Source organism: Homo sapiens, chromosome 5, assembly GCF_000001405.40.
Source record: "Homo sapiens chromosome 5, GRCh38.p14 Primary Assembly".
NCBI classification, from domain to species: Eukaryota; Metazoa; Chordata; class Mammalia; order Primates; family Hominidae; genus Homo; species Homo sapiens.
In genome coordinates, this window is record NC_000005.10 from 123,384,699 (window position 1) to 123,399,364 (window position 14,666).

The window sequence follows — 14,666 nt, forward strand, 5'->3', positions numbered from 1 at the left end:
ATCTGAATATTACAATACCATGGTAACACAGACTCTTGACTTCTGTGAGGTGAAATCAGTATCAGAAAGCTAAAGGGCAAAGTGGGGTATAGCTGCCACAGGTCAGAGAAGATCAGAAAAAGGAGGTTATGAAAGGGTGAAGTGGTGGATCAGAAAAAAGAGGTTATGGAAGGGTGAAGTGGTGGCTGACTAATCAAAATCATTCCATGAATTGAAAAGAAAAGCAAATACCAATTCTGTGAAATGCATTACCCTTGTGCTGCTATAACAGGCACACTTTCACTGTAAGTTTGACGCCAACACTGTTCACCATTAGAACCTAAAAAACGAGTTTTTTCTGAAGACAAGATGTTAGAAAGCTGGATTCTCGCAATTCCCAGAAGTAAATCTTTACTCATTTTATCCTTGTGCCATAGTTCAACCAGTAATGGAATCCTAAGGAAGAGAGAAACATGTGTTCATACCTATCAACTCTGACCTAAAGTCTTTTCTGAACTAAATTCTTTGAATTCCCTCAATGGAGTCAAAGATGTTTTTTGTTACCTGGAATGTCGTCTAACACAATTGTTAGACTGAATGCTAAATTTCACAGGCACCAAATATGAAATGATGTTTCCATCAATGATGAACCTCACATACAATGATGGTCCCATAAAATTATATCATATTTTTACTGTATCTTTTCTGTTTAGATACACAAATACTTACCTTTGTCCAACTGCCTACAGTATTCAGTACAGTCACATGCTGTGCAGGTTCGCAGTCTAGAAGCAATAGGCTATTCCACCCAGCTTAGGTGCACAGTAGGCTATACCATCTAAGTTTGTTTAAGTACATTCTACAATGTTCACACAACAATAGAATTATCTAATAATGCACTTCTCATAATGTATCCCTATCTTTAATTCACGACTATACCTGTTTTTTTTTTTTTTTGAGACAGGGTCTTGGTCTGCCACTCAGGCTGCTGTGCAATGGCATAATCACAACTCACTACAGCCTCAACCTCCTGGGCTCAAGTGATCCTCCCGTTTTAGCCCCCTAAGTAGCTGGGACTGCAGGTGCTGGCTAATTTTTGTATTTTTTGTAGAGACAGGGTTTCACCATTTTGCTCAGGCTAGTCTAAAACTCCTGGGCTCAAAGCAATCTGCTCAAGTTGGCCTCCCAAAGTGCTGGGATTACAGGTGTAAGTCACCATGCCAGGCCTACTATTATATTTTTTGTACCACTTTCTATGCAATAAAAACCTTCAAATGCTGTAATTCCCACAAATGGTTAGATTTAAGTTACCCTTCATTCTTTTTAAAATAATGTATAAATTTGAATTGTGATACTCTGAGAAAGTAAAAGGTGTTTCGCAGATCTCAGATTTTTTCATGAATCCATTTCAGATAGTCAGATTAACATCTCTAGTTATAGGTTTAAAAAAACAGAAAAAGCAAATTTTTTCATTCAGTGAATCAACAATAAAAAGTAAATATTTAGTTCTTAGCTTTTTATCTTCCCACATTATATCAGGAAAAGGCAAGACCACTTTTCAAAGGCCCCTCATTACATATAGTTTGTTTTAACAAAGTTAAAATATCTAAATTCAGGTAAATAAGATAGGAAAATCAAAAAAGAGCCTTTATAATAAACCATGCAAAACCCTGTAGCAGATGCACAAATGTCATACACATAATTAGTAAATTTGTTTCTTGATCCTCAAATGCATAAACTGCTATGGATTTAAACCTATAAGAATTCCTTTTTAATAAAATACAAATTTTCAAGAATTGACTTAAATTAATTAATATCATACATACACTGTATGCATTACCTTAAGAAGGTGTCTTGCAGCTGATGAGGCATAGTTGCAAAATCAAATGCACAGTAAGACTGGGGAAGAAAAACTTCCATGTTTTTCCGAACTTCTACAGGAGGATTAGTCATAATAGGAGCTGCACTTCCAAAGAATGGATATGAGTACCTAGAATTTAAAAAAAAAAAAAAAAAAAAAAGCCTTAATGATATGGTTTACAGATGACATTCAGTCTGTTTTTTAGAAAAAAGTATAATATGAATATTATGAGCAAATACAACTTTTTAATAGAAACATGGTAGACATAGCAATCTGTCATCTGTGTAAGAAGTTCCTTGACGGCACATGTCCTACCTTTTTTATCTCTGCACTCCCAGGGACACAGGCAGTTTCTGCCATATATAAATATTCAAGAAATGCTTCCTAAATTTATTTGTAAACCTGGTTTATTTTATACAATAGTATCCTGATTTTTTATGGGATAAAAAGCCCTTAGTCAACTCCAAAAGGATGCATTCATGGTAATCTGGTAATTATGGTAATCTTGCAAGGATGCAAACAATTCGAATGTATTATGGATGAATCAAGAGAGTGACATAACAACACTGTTTCTCCCTTTCATCACAAAGCCATGCTAGATTAAATGGAAGAATGCCTGACTACTGCTGAACTTAATTTGTATTTAAAGCCAAATATAAAGATATTATAATGTTCATTTAAATTTAATCCTGTATCTTGTTATTCATATATGAGAACTAAAATTTAAACACTATTAGTAAAAACTGCTTTCCAACAAGAAGAATTCTATGTAGTCACCCAATTCCTATATAATTATATATCCATTTAAATCATGTCATTTCCGAGGAAAGTTAAATGCCCTAGAGTTTCAGCTCCCTATGCTTACCACCACACTACAGGATTTAGTGATTAAAAGAAAAATAAATAAAGGAAGTCATGCAGATAAGAAACTTTTCAAATACCAGTGTTACCTAACCAATTCCATGACACAGCTGCAAACTACAATTTCATACCAATACAGAGCATGGTATGAAAATTTATCAACAGAAAAAGTTAAGTGGCCAGCATTTTTAAAGTGCCTTAAAATGATTCAAAGACCGAACTATTAGTCCGTATCAAATGAATTCTATGAAGAGTGTTAAGTGGACTGTAACAATTTATTTCCTCAACTTTTGCAAATGCTAATGCTTGTTCCCAAAAAATTTATGAGGAGATGCTAACTACCCCAAACTAAATACATTATTGTATTATATTTAATTTATATCTCGGGCACAAAAGACTATAAAAATGTAACATCATTAAAAACAAATTATTGTGTAAAACTACTTAACTGACATATATATTATATAAAATTCTTAATATAGAACAATGTAGACACATTCCACTTACAGCTGATTAAGTATGGTGTTTAGATTCATAGCTATGAAATGGAGGTATTAGGAATATGAGCTCCCATTATAATACAGTTTTATAGAAAAATCAGATAATACACTACCTTTTTGACCAGTAATACTTTGACTAGTATTATTATTACTTTTTTTTGACCATTATTATTATTTTGACCAGTAATACTTTTTCCAGAAAAAAAGCACTTTTCAAGTTTAAGAGGCACTGTACTTTATATGGCATATTATGTATGTTTATCAAAATACATACATGTATTATATTACTTAGAATAAGTTATTATAAATGCCTACAATTATTATATCAGAATAATAAGACAGTTACCTCTCCTACTACTATGCTACCCTTGTTTGAATTCAAAATCATTAGGATATAGCCTTACCCCCTTTTAGTCCACTGATTTAACAAATGTTATAACTTCTTTGGTGACATTTCTCTCTGCAATTCCCCAAACACAGGAAAGTCCTTTCTCTTCAGAAAATAATACTTTGAAACAAAATCAAATCACACCTTAATATACAGTTGATTGGAAAACCAATCTCCAAGGCATGTATACTCCTTAAGTCTATTGAAAAGCAAAAATGATGTGATGTTGCTGGTACAGCAATCTTCTGTCCTGAAGCTACTTCTGAAGCATTGGATGTAGTCACTAGCTGGGCCAGTGAAGCAGGTACAGAAGAACTGGCTGAAATGAACATAAAATAAAACAAAATAATCACACTTGCTAACAGTTTCTCTTAAATTGTACAGATAGTTTAAGGCTATCATCTCATTTACCTTTAAGCAGGAATTGGGCTATTTTGTCTCATGAACATATGAATTGAGGTATAAGTATCTTAAAAGTAACTCACACAAAAATAACCCAGGTTTTAATTTCCATTCTAGAATTGTGTGAAAAAAGAGCTTACTCTCAATACATATAGAAAACGTACAGAACCAATAGAGAAATATACATGACTGCAGCCTAGAAGGCACTAACTTATTTCCAAGAGGCACATAACTTAACATTTGAAGGGCTGTATATGAGACTTACTGAGATATAATGACATCACCTTTTTACAGTAATTTTGGTTATTTTAGGCATATTTAAAATAACAGAAAGCTAAAACTTAAAAAGACAGATATCTAGTCCAACCTATTAGAGATCAGAGATACTTAGTGAGTGGCCGAAGTCACACAGCCACTCAGTGACAGAGATGTAACTTACAGCAAAGACATCTAACTCCTAATCCACTACTATTTACACTACTAACTATAACTGCAATGGATGGAAAAATTTTATTAAATCAGATAAATATGCATTCTTAGACTCTCTCTTAACTTCAGGATCAAAAATGGTTATTATGAGTTTACTATAAGAGGCAGTTAACAACTGTTTTCTCCAAACTTCAAGATATTTAAGAATCTAATCATTTAAAAAATCTACTTGCAAAAACTATATTATTTAATGTCTATTGAATAGGATATTTCCAGTGTACAAGTAAAATAAAAAATTCTGTTAATTTAGAGAATTATATTTTGAAGTTAGATAGATTGCAATGACTTTGCATTGAAATTTTTTATATTTCCACACATTACTGTTTTGTTTTTTGTTTTGAGACGGAGTTCCGCTCTTGTTGCCCAGGCTGGAGTGCAATGGCGCGATCTTGGCTCACCACAACCTCCACCTCCTGGGTTCAAGCAATTCTCCTGCCTCAGCCTCCCGAGTAGCTGGGATTACAGGCATGCACCACCACGCCTGGCTAATTTTGTATTTTTAGTAGAGACGGGATTTCTCTACCTTGGTCAGGCTGGTCTCGAATGCCCAACCTCAGGTGATCCACCTGCCTCGGTCTTCCAAAGTGCTGGGATTACAGGCGTGAGCCACCGTGCCCAGCCTTATTGGTTCTTAACAAACCCACAATTTTTACTTATAACTCATGAAAGTTCTCATAGTCATTTTTTAGATGGCTGCAAAATGCAATACCTCAAAGATCTATAAACAAACAACAAAAAACCTTACCTTTTGGATTTGGTTTGGTGTCCTTATCATACTGTAAACTTTCCACTTCACTTTCTGTTGCATCATCTTTTGTTGGAGGTGACTGGTTGTGAGATGGAACAGGGGACACTGTTGGTGATTTTGGCCCAGTAAGTGTCTTCTCCTTTATGGGGGTTAAAACTTTCTTCTTTGAATGCTCTGGCTCATGTTCATTCTGGGTCTTTAATTCAATTAAAGACTAAAAACAATTTTTAAATAAAGTATAATTTGCAAAGAACTTTCCTTCATAATTAAGCAAAAAACTTGGCATTGTTTTTTAAAAATATAAGCTTCCTTTCCCAGTTTGGATATTCCTAGTCTATTTTTCTTCGTAATTTGCAAATTTCCTTATAGCATCTAGGACCAGAAAAAGGAAGATGAACAGAGGAAATATGATATCCAGAGCTGAATACCAAAATGCATCCTAATGGGTAAGAAGGGATATTTGAGAAAAGAAGTCAGGCATAGGTGTCCCCGGGAATGGTTATTCCTACCAAGGCAGTACAATGGAGAACTATACTCCTAAAGAGAAAAAACACATGTCTAGTATGACTTTCCTTCTCTCCTTTATTCCACTCCCCACTAAAAATATATGTATATGTATCTTTTAAACACTCATTTCGGTTCTTCTATCTTTAATTCACAACCTGCATAAAGATCAGCTTTTTGAAAGAACAAGATAAAGTTGATTTCTGGGAATAGATACAATAAAAAAAATACACGGCCAAATAAATGATCATCTGTGTCATGAAAACTGACTAAAGAGAGTATGAGGACTACAAAGCACTAAGGAACCAAGGATTTTATTTTGGCTCAGGTTGCATTAACCAAAAAGATATCAGTAATGCAGATTCCCAGAAACTAGGTCTAAAAATGTTCTCTTTCACTGGAGTTCCTTTTCTGGAGTTGGGGGTGGGGGAGACCATAAGTGGGTTTCCACTACACAAAAAGACTGTCTCAAAGGCTAAGAGGGCTCTGGGTAGAATCACTTATAAACCATAACAGAAGTCACAGCACTTTTCAGAAAGGAGGTATCATATAACAAAGGTCACTAATTAAGATTAATAAATATATCCTTATGAAGGTAACTCTTCTGAAATTCAACTTTTGTAAGTAATCATGCATGGGACTAGTGAAGCCAGGGGAATGAAGGAGGGCCACTACTTGCCTGGGAGTCTATGCCTTCTCTCTGCAGAGCCACAGACACTCCCACAGTTGGGGCTAGCTCCACAGGAATAGGTGCAAGCTTCTGTTTGGCTCTGTTTGGAGGGTCAAGGGTAAAAGCACCTTCGACTGTGACTGGGTGCTGGTTGATTTCTGTACTGCCCTTTTTAAGTAATCCAGTTAAAGGTATTTCTGTACTTCCAAGTGACTGGTCTCCACAGCAGAGGTGAATCTAATATGAAAGGGAAAAATCAAAATAGGGCTTTATACTTTCTCCTTTCTCCTAAATATCATAAACTTAATAAGAAGTTGTAAAATGATGCATGGAAAGAAAATATTATGCAGGTTATACCTCATTGACCTCAAGTGACGAAGTAATGAATTCTCACACATAACTGTTAAAACTGGTGATAAAACACAAAGTTTACTAAAAACTCAATAATAGCTATTACCTTTTTCATTTCTTCTTTCGGTATTACATAATCATATGTTATTGCTTCTTTTTCTGTCTCTTTGGTGAGCTACTTTAATATTTTACTATAACAAAATTAATGCATGAATTTAAACAAAAAAAACAAAGAAATACCTCAACATTTTTCTTTTTCCATTTTACCATTAATTTAAACACAGTTTCAAAAAATAAGTCAGTGGATCAATCCTGATTTGGAATTTAAAAACCTCAAATAGTTTTGTTTTTTTCACCCATAAGATATCTTGAATATTTCTCTTTTCTTGCTTTTCAGACCTCATATTAAAAAGAGTGCTTAACAGTAAGTAAAAGAATATCTCTGGAGTGGAGTATACTGTTAATCACTGATAGCTAATTAAAAATTCAATATTATCACCTTTTGACAAGTACAAAAAAAAAGACTCTTCCAGATAAATGTTATATAACTTGTTTTCCCTTACTATATTGAAGCCTTAGCAAACTTAGTATTTGAATGAATAATAAATAAGCAATCATGCTGTAAAATATATTTAGCTCTAATATCATCAGTGAAAGAGTTAAGAGAGACCTGTAACTTAGTCCCAAAGTTATTATAAGGTGTAATATTTTTATGGGCTGGAAAAAAAAGTATTTTTATGATGTAAATGTCCTCCATTAGAAACTAATAAATCAATACTTTTGGTAAGGACTGATATGTTAGATACAGAATAAAACTCAAACTGCTTTTCCCTGCATGTCACCATTTTATATAGTCTTCAGTTTTCTAAATATCTTGGGTTTAGCAGAATCATCTCTAAAATTTAGTTCTACTAAAATTTCCTAATGCTTCTTCTCACCTCCTGTCCATTACTTTATTTTAAACAAATGAGTATCTAAGCGTATACAACACCACCCTATTTCAGTTTGATCAAAAGGAAGTGTCATAAAAGACAGAAGAGTAATGCTTACTAGGTAAGGTTAACTTATCTTTTTTTTGAGACAGAGTCTTGCTCTGCTGCCCAAGCTGGAGTACACTGGTGTGATCATAGCTGACTGCAGTCTCCAACTTCTGGACTCAAGCAGTCCTTCCACCTCACCCTCCCGAGTAGTTAAGATTACAGGCACACACCACTATGTCTAAGTAATTTTTTATTTTTTGTAGAAACAGGGTCTTGCTATGTTGCCCAGGCTATTCTTGAACTCCTGGCCTCAAGTGATCCTCCCATCTTAGCCTCTCAAAGTGCTGGAATTATAGGTGTGAGCTACCATGCTCCACCAATGTTTGCTTTTAAATGGAGTCCAATTCAAAAATAGTTCATAAAAAATATTCAACTCAAGGGCAGATTTTAGAAAGCTGTCTTACCTCATTGCTTTTAACGGCAGTAAGGCATATATATTTTGAAATCGAGAGTGTGATCTGTGTGCCTACACCTAATATCTCCATTAACAATAATGAAATCTTGCTCGTGCCTGCTGCCCTAGGCTCCAGGTATAATTTTTTTTATTGCAAAGGACTGATAACTGATATACCTCTTTTCTCAATTCCTGGGAAAAGAGGTATTATCTCATAAAATTCTGAGGTAATTGTAATGCCAACAACTTCATGACTCAGGATAGTACCTAAAAAAATTAGAAGATGTGGCAGAAAGATAACCTGTACTACTGAAATAGGATTAAGTTTAGGTACTAAACTCTCGTTTAGTTTAGGTACTAAATTAATGCTTAAAAGACCACCTCCAGCTAAAAACGATTTGCTGCAATACTCACCTGCAGTTTAGACTGAAGAGCCAGGTAAACACGAAGAATTTCTACACTGCTACGGATGCGAACTGATGCTCTCTCTGGCTCAAAGTTTGGGTTGATTAAATCATTGAAGGGTTCATTTGTAACATCATTTCCCAGTAAAGAGTAGTAAAAGAAAAACTCAGGCTGTCTTTCTGGAAGTTTCATGGTACATGGAATTAACTAAACATTTCAGGAAAAAGAAAACAGTTATTACTTTCTAAACTACTGAACATGCTTAGTGTATCTATTACATTCCAAAAACATTTGCTAAAATGTTTTTTTATTTGATGTCTTAACCGCTCAAATAAAATTTCTGAATTTCTGCCAAATTACTACCAAATTACTATTTTTTTAAAAAAGAGTCGTCTTAGAAAAGCAGAGTCTAAAAGACTTTATAGATTTATGTTGTTTTAAAGTTTTCATTGCATTCAACTGGTCCATGAAAGAATATGTGAAAGTTCTACTTAGAAGAAAGAGATTAAATATTTCAAACTGAGCTTTCCTTATTTTCACATATTTTATTTCATCTCATACTTCCTCAGCCATCAGAGGCTCTATGTTATGAATGAGGAAAGGTTTTAAAGAAATTTAATCCAGGCTATCTAACATATAACATCTTAGTTGAGGTCTCCGATAAAGTTTTTAGCTATTCTGTCGAAATTTAGAGGCCTATGAAAATAACACCAAAAAAATACCTTTTGTACTATGAGTGTTACTTTTCAGAGTTGCTAGTTTCATGGCTACATATGACTAAGAGATGGGATTCTTGTCCTACAAAATATATTTTCTAACAGACCTTTAATGTTCACTAGCATACTGTTAAACAATAAGCTATAAACATTTAATGTGTTGATCAATAGGAGATGGCTTACATATAATTATCATACACCATGGCTGCTAAATAATAACACATTAACATGAAAGTTATCTAAGACACCAGTCCCTAACCATTTTGGCACCAGGGACTGGTTTCGTGGAAGACAATTCTTCCACAAACAGGAGGGTATAGGGGGAATAGTTACAGGAGGAAACTGTTCTACCTCAGATCATTAGGCATTGGATTCTCATAAGGAGCACGCAACCTAGATCCCTTACATGTGTAGTTGACAATAAGGTTCGTGCTCCTATGAAAATCTAATGCCACCACTGATCTGATAGGAGGCAGAGCTCGGGCCCTAATGCTCACTTGCCCGCTGCTCACCTCCTGCTGTGTAGCCGGTTCCTAACAGGCCACAAACCTGTACCAGTCCGCAGCCTGAGGGTTGAGGATCCCTCTCTAAGATACACTGTTGGCTTAAAAAAATTACAGGACAGTTTGTATAGTTTGTGAAAATAAAAGTACTAACCACTTAGATTACAATAGCACAGTACCAGACACATAATAAATGTAAGTTATTTTAATCCTGCACTTTAAAATGTATTCATGTTTAAGTGAGGAGATTTTAATCATGTGGACTTACACACATTGAGAGGAGCACCTATGCACTTATAATTGTTACAATCACAAATTCTGGAGTCAGATCCCAAACCCTAACTCTAGTTCCATCAGTAACTTACTGTGAAATTTTAGAAAAATTACTTAATCACTGTGTGTATGCACTTGTTTTAGGGTTGTTGGAAGGATTAAAAGAGATACATAGTCGCTGCTACAACAATGCCTAGCACACAGCTGTTGTTATGTGAGAATGGAAAATACCTAGAGAAGAACACACTAACCATTACAGTGATTATTCTGGAGGGGTTTAGAGAAGATTTTCATTTTCTTTTACTTTCTTTCATGATCATACAGCAATAAAAACATTAAGAAATAAAGATCCTTATATATTTCACAGTACATTTAATTCTGAATTATTCCCATTATGGGAAGAAATTCTTTAAAAATTCTTTATTATCCTGATATTTAGAGACTACTTTTTTCCTACTCTTAACTTTCAGTATTTAAGAAAAGAAGGAAGCAAGATTGTCACTAGCCGGCCTTCCTGCTCCAAACTCAATCCTCCATTCTATTAAAACTTTATAGTAACATGTGCTAAGTCACTGATTTGCATCTGAAAAGGTTTGTAAATCTGTTTATTGCTAGATGCTTTCTCACATTGCCTTTGACTAAGTTGAGAGGAAAAAATTAAACAGCTAATTTCATCCCAAACATAAACAATACAATCATTAAGCAGCAACACCCTACCATCCATACTCTCCTGCCCCCAGTCCCTGGAAATCACAAATCTGCTTGTAGGAACTTTTGCCTATTGTGGATGATTCATATAAATGGAACCACACAATATGTGGCCTTTTGTGTCTTGCTTCTTTCACTTAGCATGTTTCCACCATTCCTTTATGTTGTGGCATGTATCAGTACTTCATTCCTTTTTTTTTTTTTTTTTTGAGACAGATTCTTGCACTGTCACCCAGGCTCGAGTGCAGTCGCATGATCTCGGCTCACTGCAAGCTCCGCCTCCTGGGTTCACGCCATTCTCCTGCCTCAGCCTCCCAAGTACCTGGGACTACAGGCACCCGCCACCACACCCAGCTAATTTTTTTGTATTTTTAGTAGAGATGGGGTTTCACCATGTTAGCCAGGATGGTCTCGATCTCCTGACCTCGTGATCCGCCCTCCTCAGCCTCCCAAAGTGCTGGGATTACAGATGTGAGCCACTGAGCCTGGTCTCCATTCCTTTTTTTTTTTTTTTTTTTACTATAAAGATGGAGGTCTCGCTATGTTGCCCTGGCTGGTCTTGAACTGTTGGGACTGAAGGGATCCTCTTGCCTCAGGCTCCTGAGTAGCTAAGATTACAGGTGTATGCCACACCACCCACAGGTAGTACTTTGATAGCTAAATTGTATTTAATTGTATAGATATGCCAAAGTTTGTTTATCCATTCATCTATTGAGGGCATCTGGGTAGTTTTCACCTTTTGGCTATCATGTATAGTATTGCTATAAACACTCACATACAGATTTTTATTTGAATACCTATTTCCAATACTTTTGGGTGTATACCTAGGAGTAGTATTGCTGATCATGTGGTAATTCTGTTTAACTTTGTGAGGAATCTATCTGCCTTAATTTTTTATAGAGATAGTAAACAATTTGCCAGACATCAACCTGTGTGTTTTTTTTTTTAAACTAAACTGAAACAGTAATTTGTCCCAGTAATTCACCTGTATTACCAAGAACTGTATTATATTGGTTTTTAAAAGTTATGGACTCAATAGGTCAATTACCCATAGGAAACTTTACCATACAAATGTAGCTTCTCACAAACAACATGGTAGGCACCTTAGTAATATTACCTCATTCCTCATGCACAACTGAAAAGATGGTAACTATCACGACTACATAAAATCAAGCCTCAAAAAGGTTAAGTAACTTGCCTAAGTTGAAGGAGCTAGAAAACAGAATGAGATTCCAACTCAAATCTATCTTATTCCAAACTCATTAAGAGGCAAGAGAGCATTATATGGGAACAAGAGAATATTAAAAATGACCACGTGGTCAGAAATACTTGGGCCATTAACTAGCTGTAAGATCTTCCTAAGACTTGCTTTCCTTATCTCTAAAATGAAAATGATCAACTCTAAGATTGTGGTAGGATTAAACACAAAATATGCAGAGTGGGTGGCACAATGTCTACTATACAAAGCATTACACAGTAAGTAATCAATAAATATGAACAATTATGCTTCCCTAAGGAGGATAAAAGTATTAAAACAGTGATTTTAAATTCAGCTGGGCATGGTGGCTCATGACTGTAATCCTAGCACTTTAGGAGGCCAAGGCAGGAGGATCACCTGAGGTCAGGAGTTTGAGACCAACCTGGCAAATATGGTGAAACCCCATCTCTACTAAAACTATAAAAACTGGCCAGGTGTGATGGCAGGTGCCTGTAATCCCAGCTACTTGGGAGGGTGAGGCAGGAGAATCACTTGAACCGGGAAGGCAGAGGTTGTAGTGAGCTGAGATTGCACCATTGCACTCCAGCCTGGGTGACAAGAGCGAGGCTCCACCTCAAAAAAATAAAAATAAAAAATAAAATGCTTTGCAAATATGGTAACAACACAGTAAAAATACAGTACATTCCTAATTATCTGACATATAGACAAGAGTGTTCTGATGTGGTTAATAAATAAAAAGGCAATAGATATCTGGCTTTCCCTGCAACTAGAGTGGCATATTAAACTATTAACAATCCATAAGCAGACCTTTAAGAGAAGAAAAATACGGAAACTGATATAAAGGCAAAAGTATGTATGTATCAGTGAGGAAATTTACAGTACCAAATAAGGAGAGAAAGAGTAAATGCTCAAAGAACACCAAGTTCTTTATATAGTGGGGATGAATTCAGTGTGACAAAGTAAACACATTTCCTGATAAAAATCTTTACCTGATGTACCTTGCAAGTCAAATAAAATTGTGGCCACTAATTGCAAATTTCATTTGTGAATGTGGATTACGTGGACATTTTGTTCCTCTAAGAAAGTAAATAAGGCCGGGCATGGTGGCTCACACCTGTAATCCCAGCACCTTGCGAGGCTGAGGTGGGATGATCATTTGAGGCCAGGAGTTCAAGACCAGCCTGAGCAGCATAGTGAAACCCTGTCTCTACAAAAAAATTAAAAATTAGGTGGGTGTGGTGGCACATGCCTATAATCCCAGCTACTCAGGAGGCTGAGGCAGAAGGATCAACTGACTCTTGGAGCTTGAGGCTACAGTGAGCTATGATCATGCCAAGGCACTCCAGCCTGGGCAACAAAGAAAGACCTGTCTCTTAGGGGAAAAAGTGGGGAGGGGAATACTCTGATAAAAATTGTACAGTTATAAACCATATTATCTATTTTTGTAAGTATTAATTCATTTCAGCTACTACAGAACAACATAATGTCAAGAAAAGTAGATCTGTAAAACCAAGTTGATGGCAGAGGAGGGAAAAAAAAAGGGAAGTGGACTTGAGAGGGACAGTGGAATAACAGCTAGTTTTGTGTTGAGCCGCTGTTGGGAAGGCAATCTACCATGAGCCCTGAGCATCCCTGGACATTCTTGCAGAGTATGGCAAGACTGCAAGGCCCAGACCACTCTTTTACTCAGCCCATTTCCCAGGGTTGTTTAAGCAGCTTGAGAGATAAGGTAATGTGTCTTCCTGGACAAAGACTAGGCCTGCTTACTGCTTACAATGAAAGTGGCAGGTTCCCCAAATTCAGTTTCCTCAGCTGTGATAAAACCCACTATGTGTAGAGCAACCACCTGGGCCCCTCTGTGTAGTCCCCATGGGACCTGGGGTAAGGGCAACTGAAGGAAATATACCAATATTCATGTTCTTGCTCTGCTACTAAGGGTAATAAATTCTTTTGTTTCTGATCCAAGAACCTGTGTCTTCTGCTAGCATCCATGACAGTAACAGCTTAATTTATTAGTTTATAAACAAGATAAAATAGAACCCAAAACTCTATAGGCATTAAGTATTAGTGGCAGAAAGTATTCCTGACATTGTAAGTTTCTCCAAAAAGTAAATCGTTCACAAATTTAAAAATCCTTCCATGTCAGTCCTTACAATGCCACACAGTACAATGGAAAACAATGTTAACTGATGGCCATTCTCCTAAATCCTGAGAGATTTATTCTCTTACAATCAAGATCATCAAAATCTATTTTTTCTAAATTAAGAAGTTTTCTTTCCAGTATGAAAGAAAACATGTTTTGAACTCATTTTTCAAAAGTTAAAAAAAAAAAGTCTACTTGCAAGTCTTTTTAATACCTGAAAGGTAAAATGTTTTACATAGTTTTCAAATTATTCGTAAGTCACCAATCTCATGAAAAGTCTCACCTGTTCCAACTGGGTAGCAAATGCTATGGTCACTGACATAATAAAGGAGTCAGTACAGTATTCTGCTGGTCCAATCTGATGGTAGCCTCCCTCTTCATTCAGCACAGCCACAATGTCCCTGGGGTCAAGTCCAGCCAGGATGGCAGGTACTTTACAGAGAAAAACACGATTAAACTACATTGTAGTTTGTCATAAACCATTATAAGATTTTTAAAACTGATTATATTTT

General features: G+C 35.8%; 1 protein-coding gene across 11 annotated transcripts in view; it reads right to left on the reverse strand.

Annotated features, from left to right (window-relative positions):
- The window catches only part of CEP120 (centrosomal protein 120), a 78,951-nt gene that overhangs the window by 39,807 nt on the left and 24,478 nt on the right, over window positions 1-14,666 (reverse strand). For 7 of the 11 annotated variants that reach the window (NM_001166226.2, NM_153223.4, NM_001375408.1 and 4 more), the window contains 7 exons: window positions 14,438-14,586; window positions 8,602-8,799; window positions 6,412-6,639; window positions 5,226-5,442; window positions 3,734-3,908; window positions 1,820-1,969; window positions 253-435 (listed from right to left, as the gene is read on the reverse strand). In NM_001166226.2, the coding sequence (NP_001159698.1) occupies window positions 253-435; window positions 1,820-1,969; window positions 3,734-3,908; window positions 5,226-5,442; window positions 6,412-6,639; window positions 8,602-8,799; window positions 14,438-14,586 (1,300 nt within the window). Of the gene's footprint in view, window positions 1-252; window positions 436-1,819; window positions 1,970-3,605; window positions 3,909-5,225; window positions 5,668-6,411; window positions 6,640-8,601; window positions 8,800-14,437; window positions 14,587-14,666 lie in introns of those variants that run through there. The other 4 variants (NM_001375406.1, XM_047416803.1, NR_164685.1 and 1 more) reach the window with 3 other exon arrangements.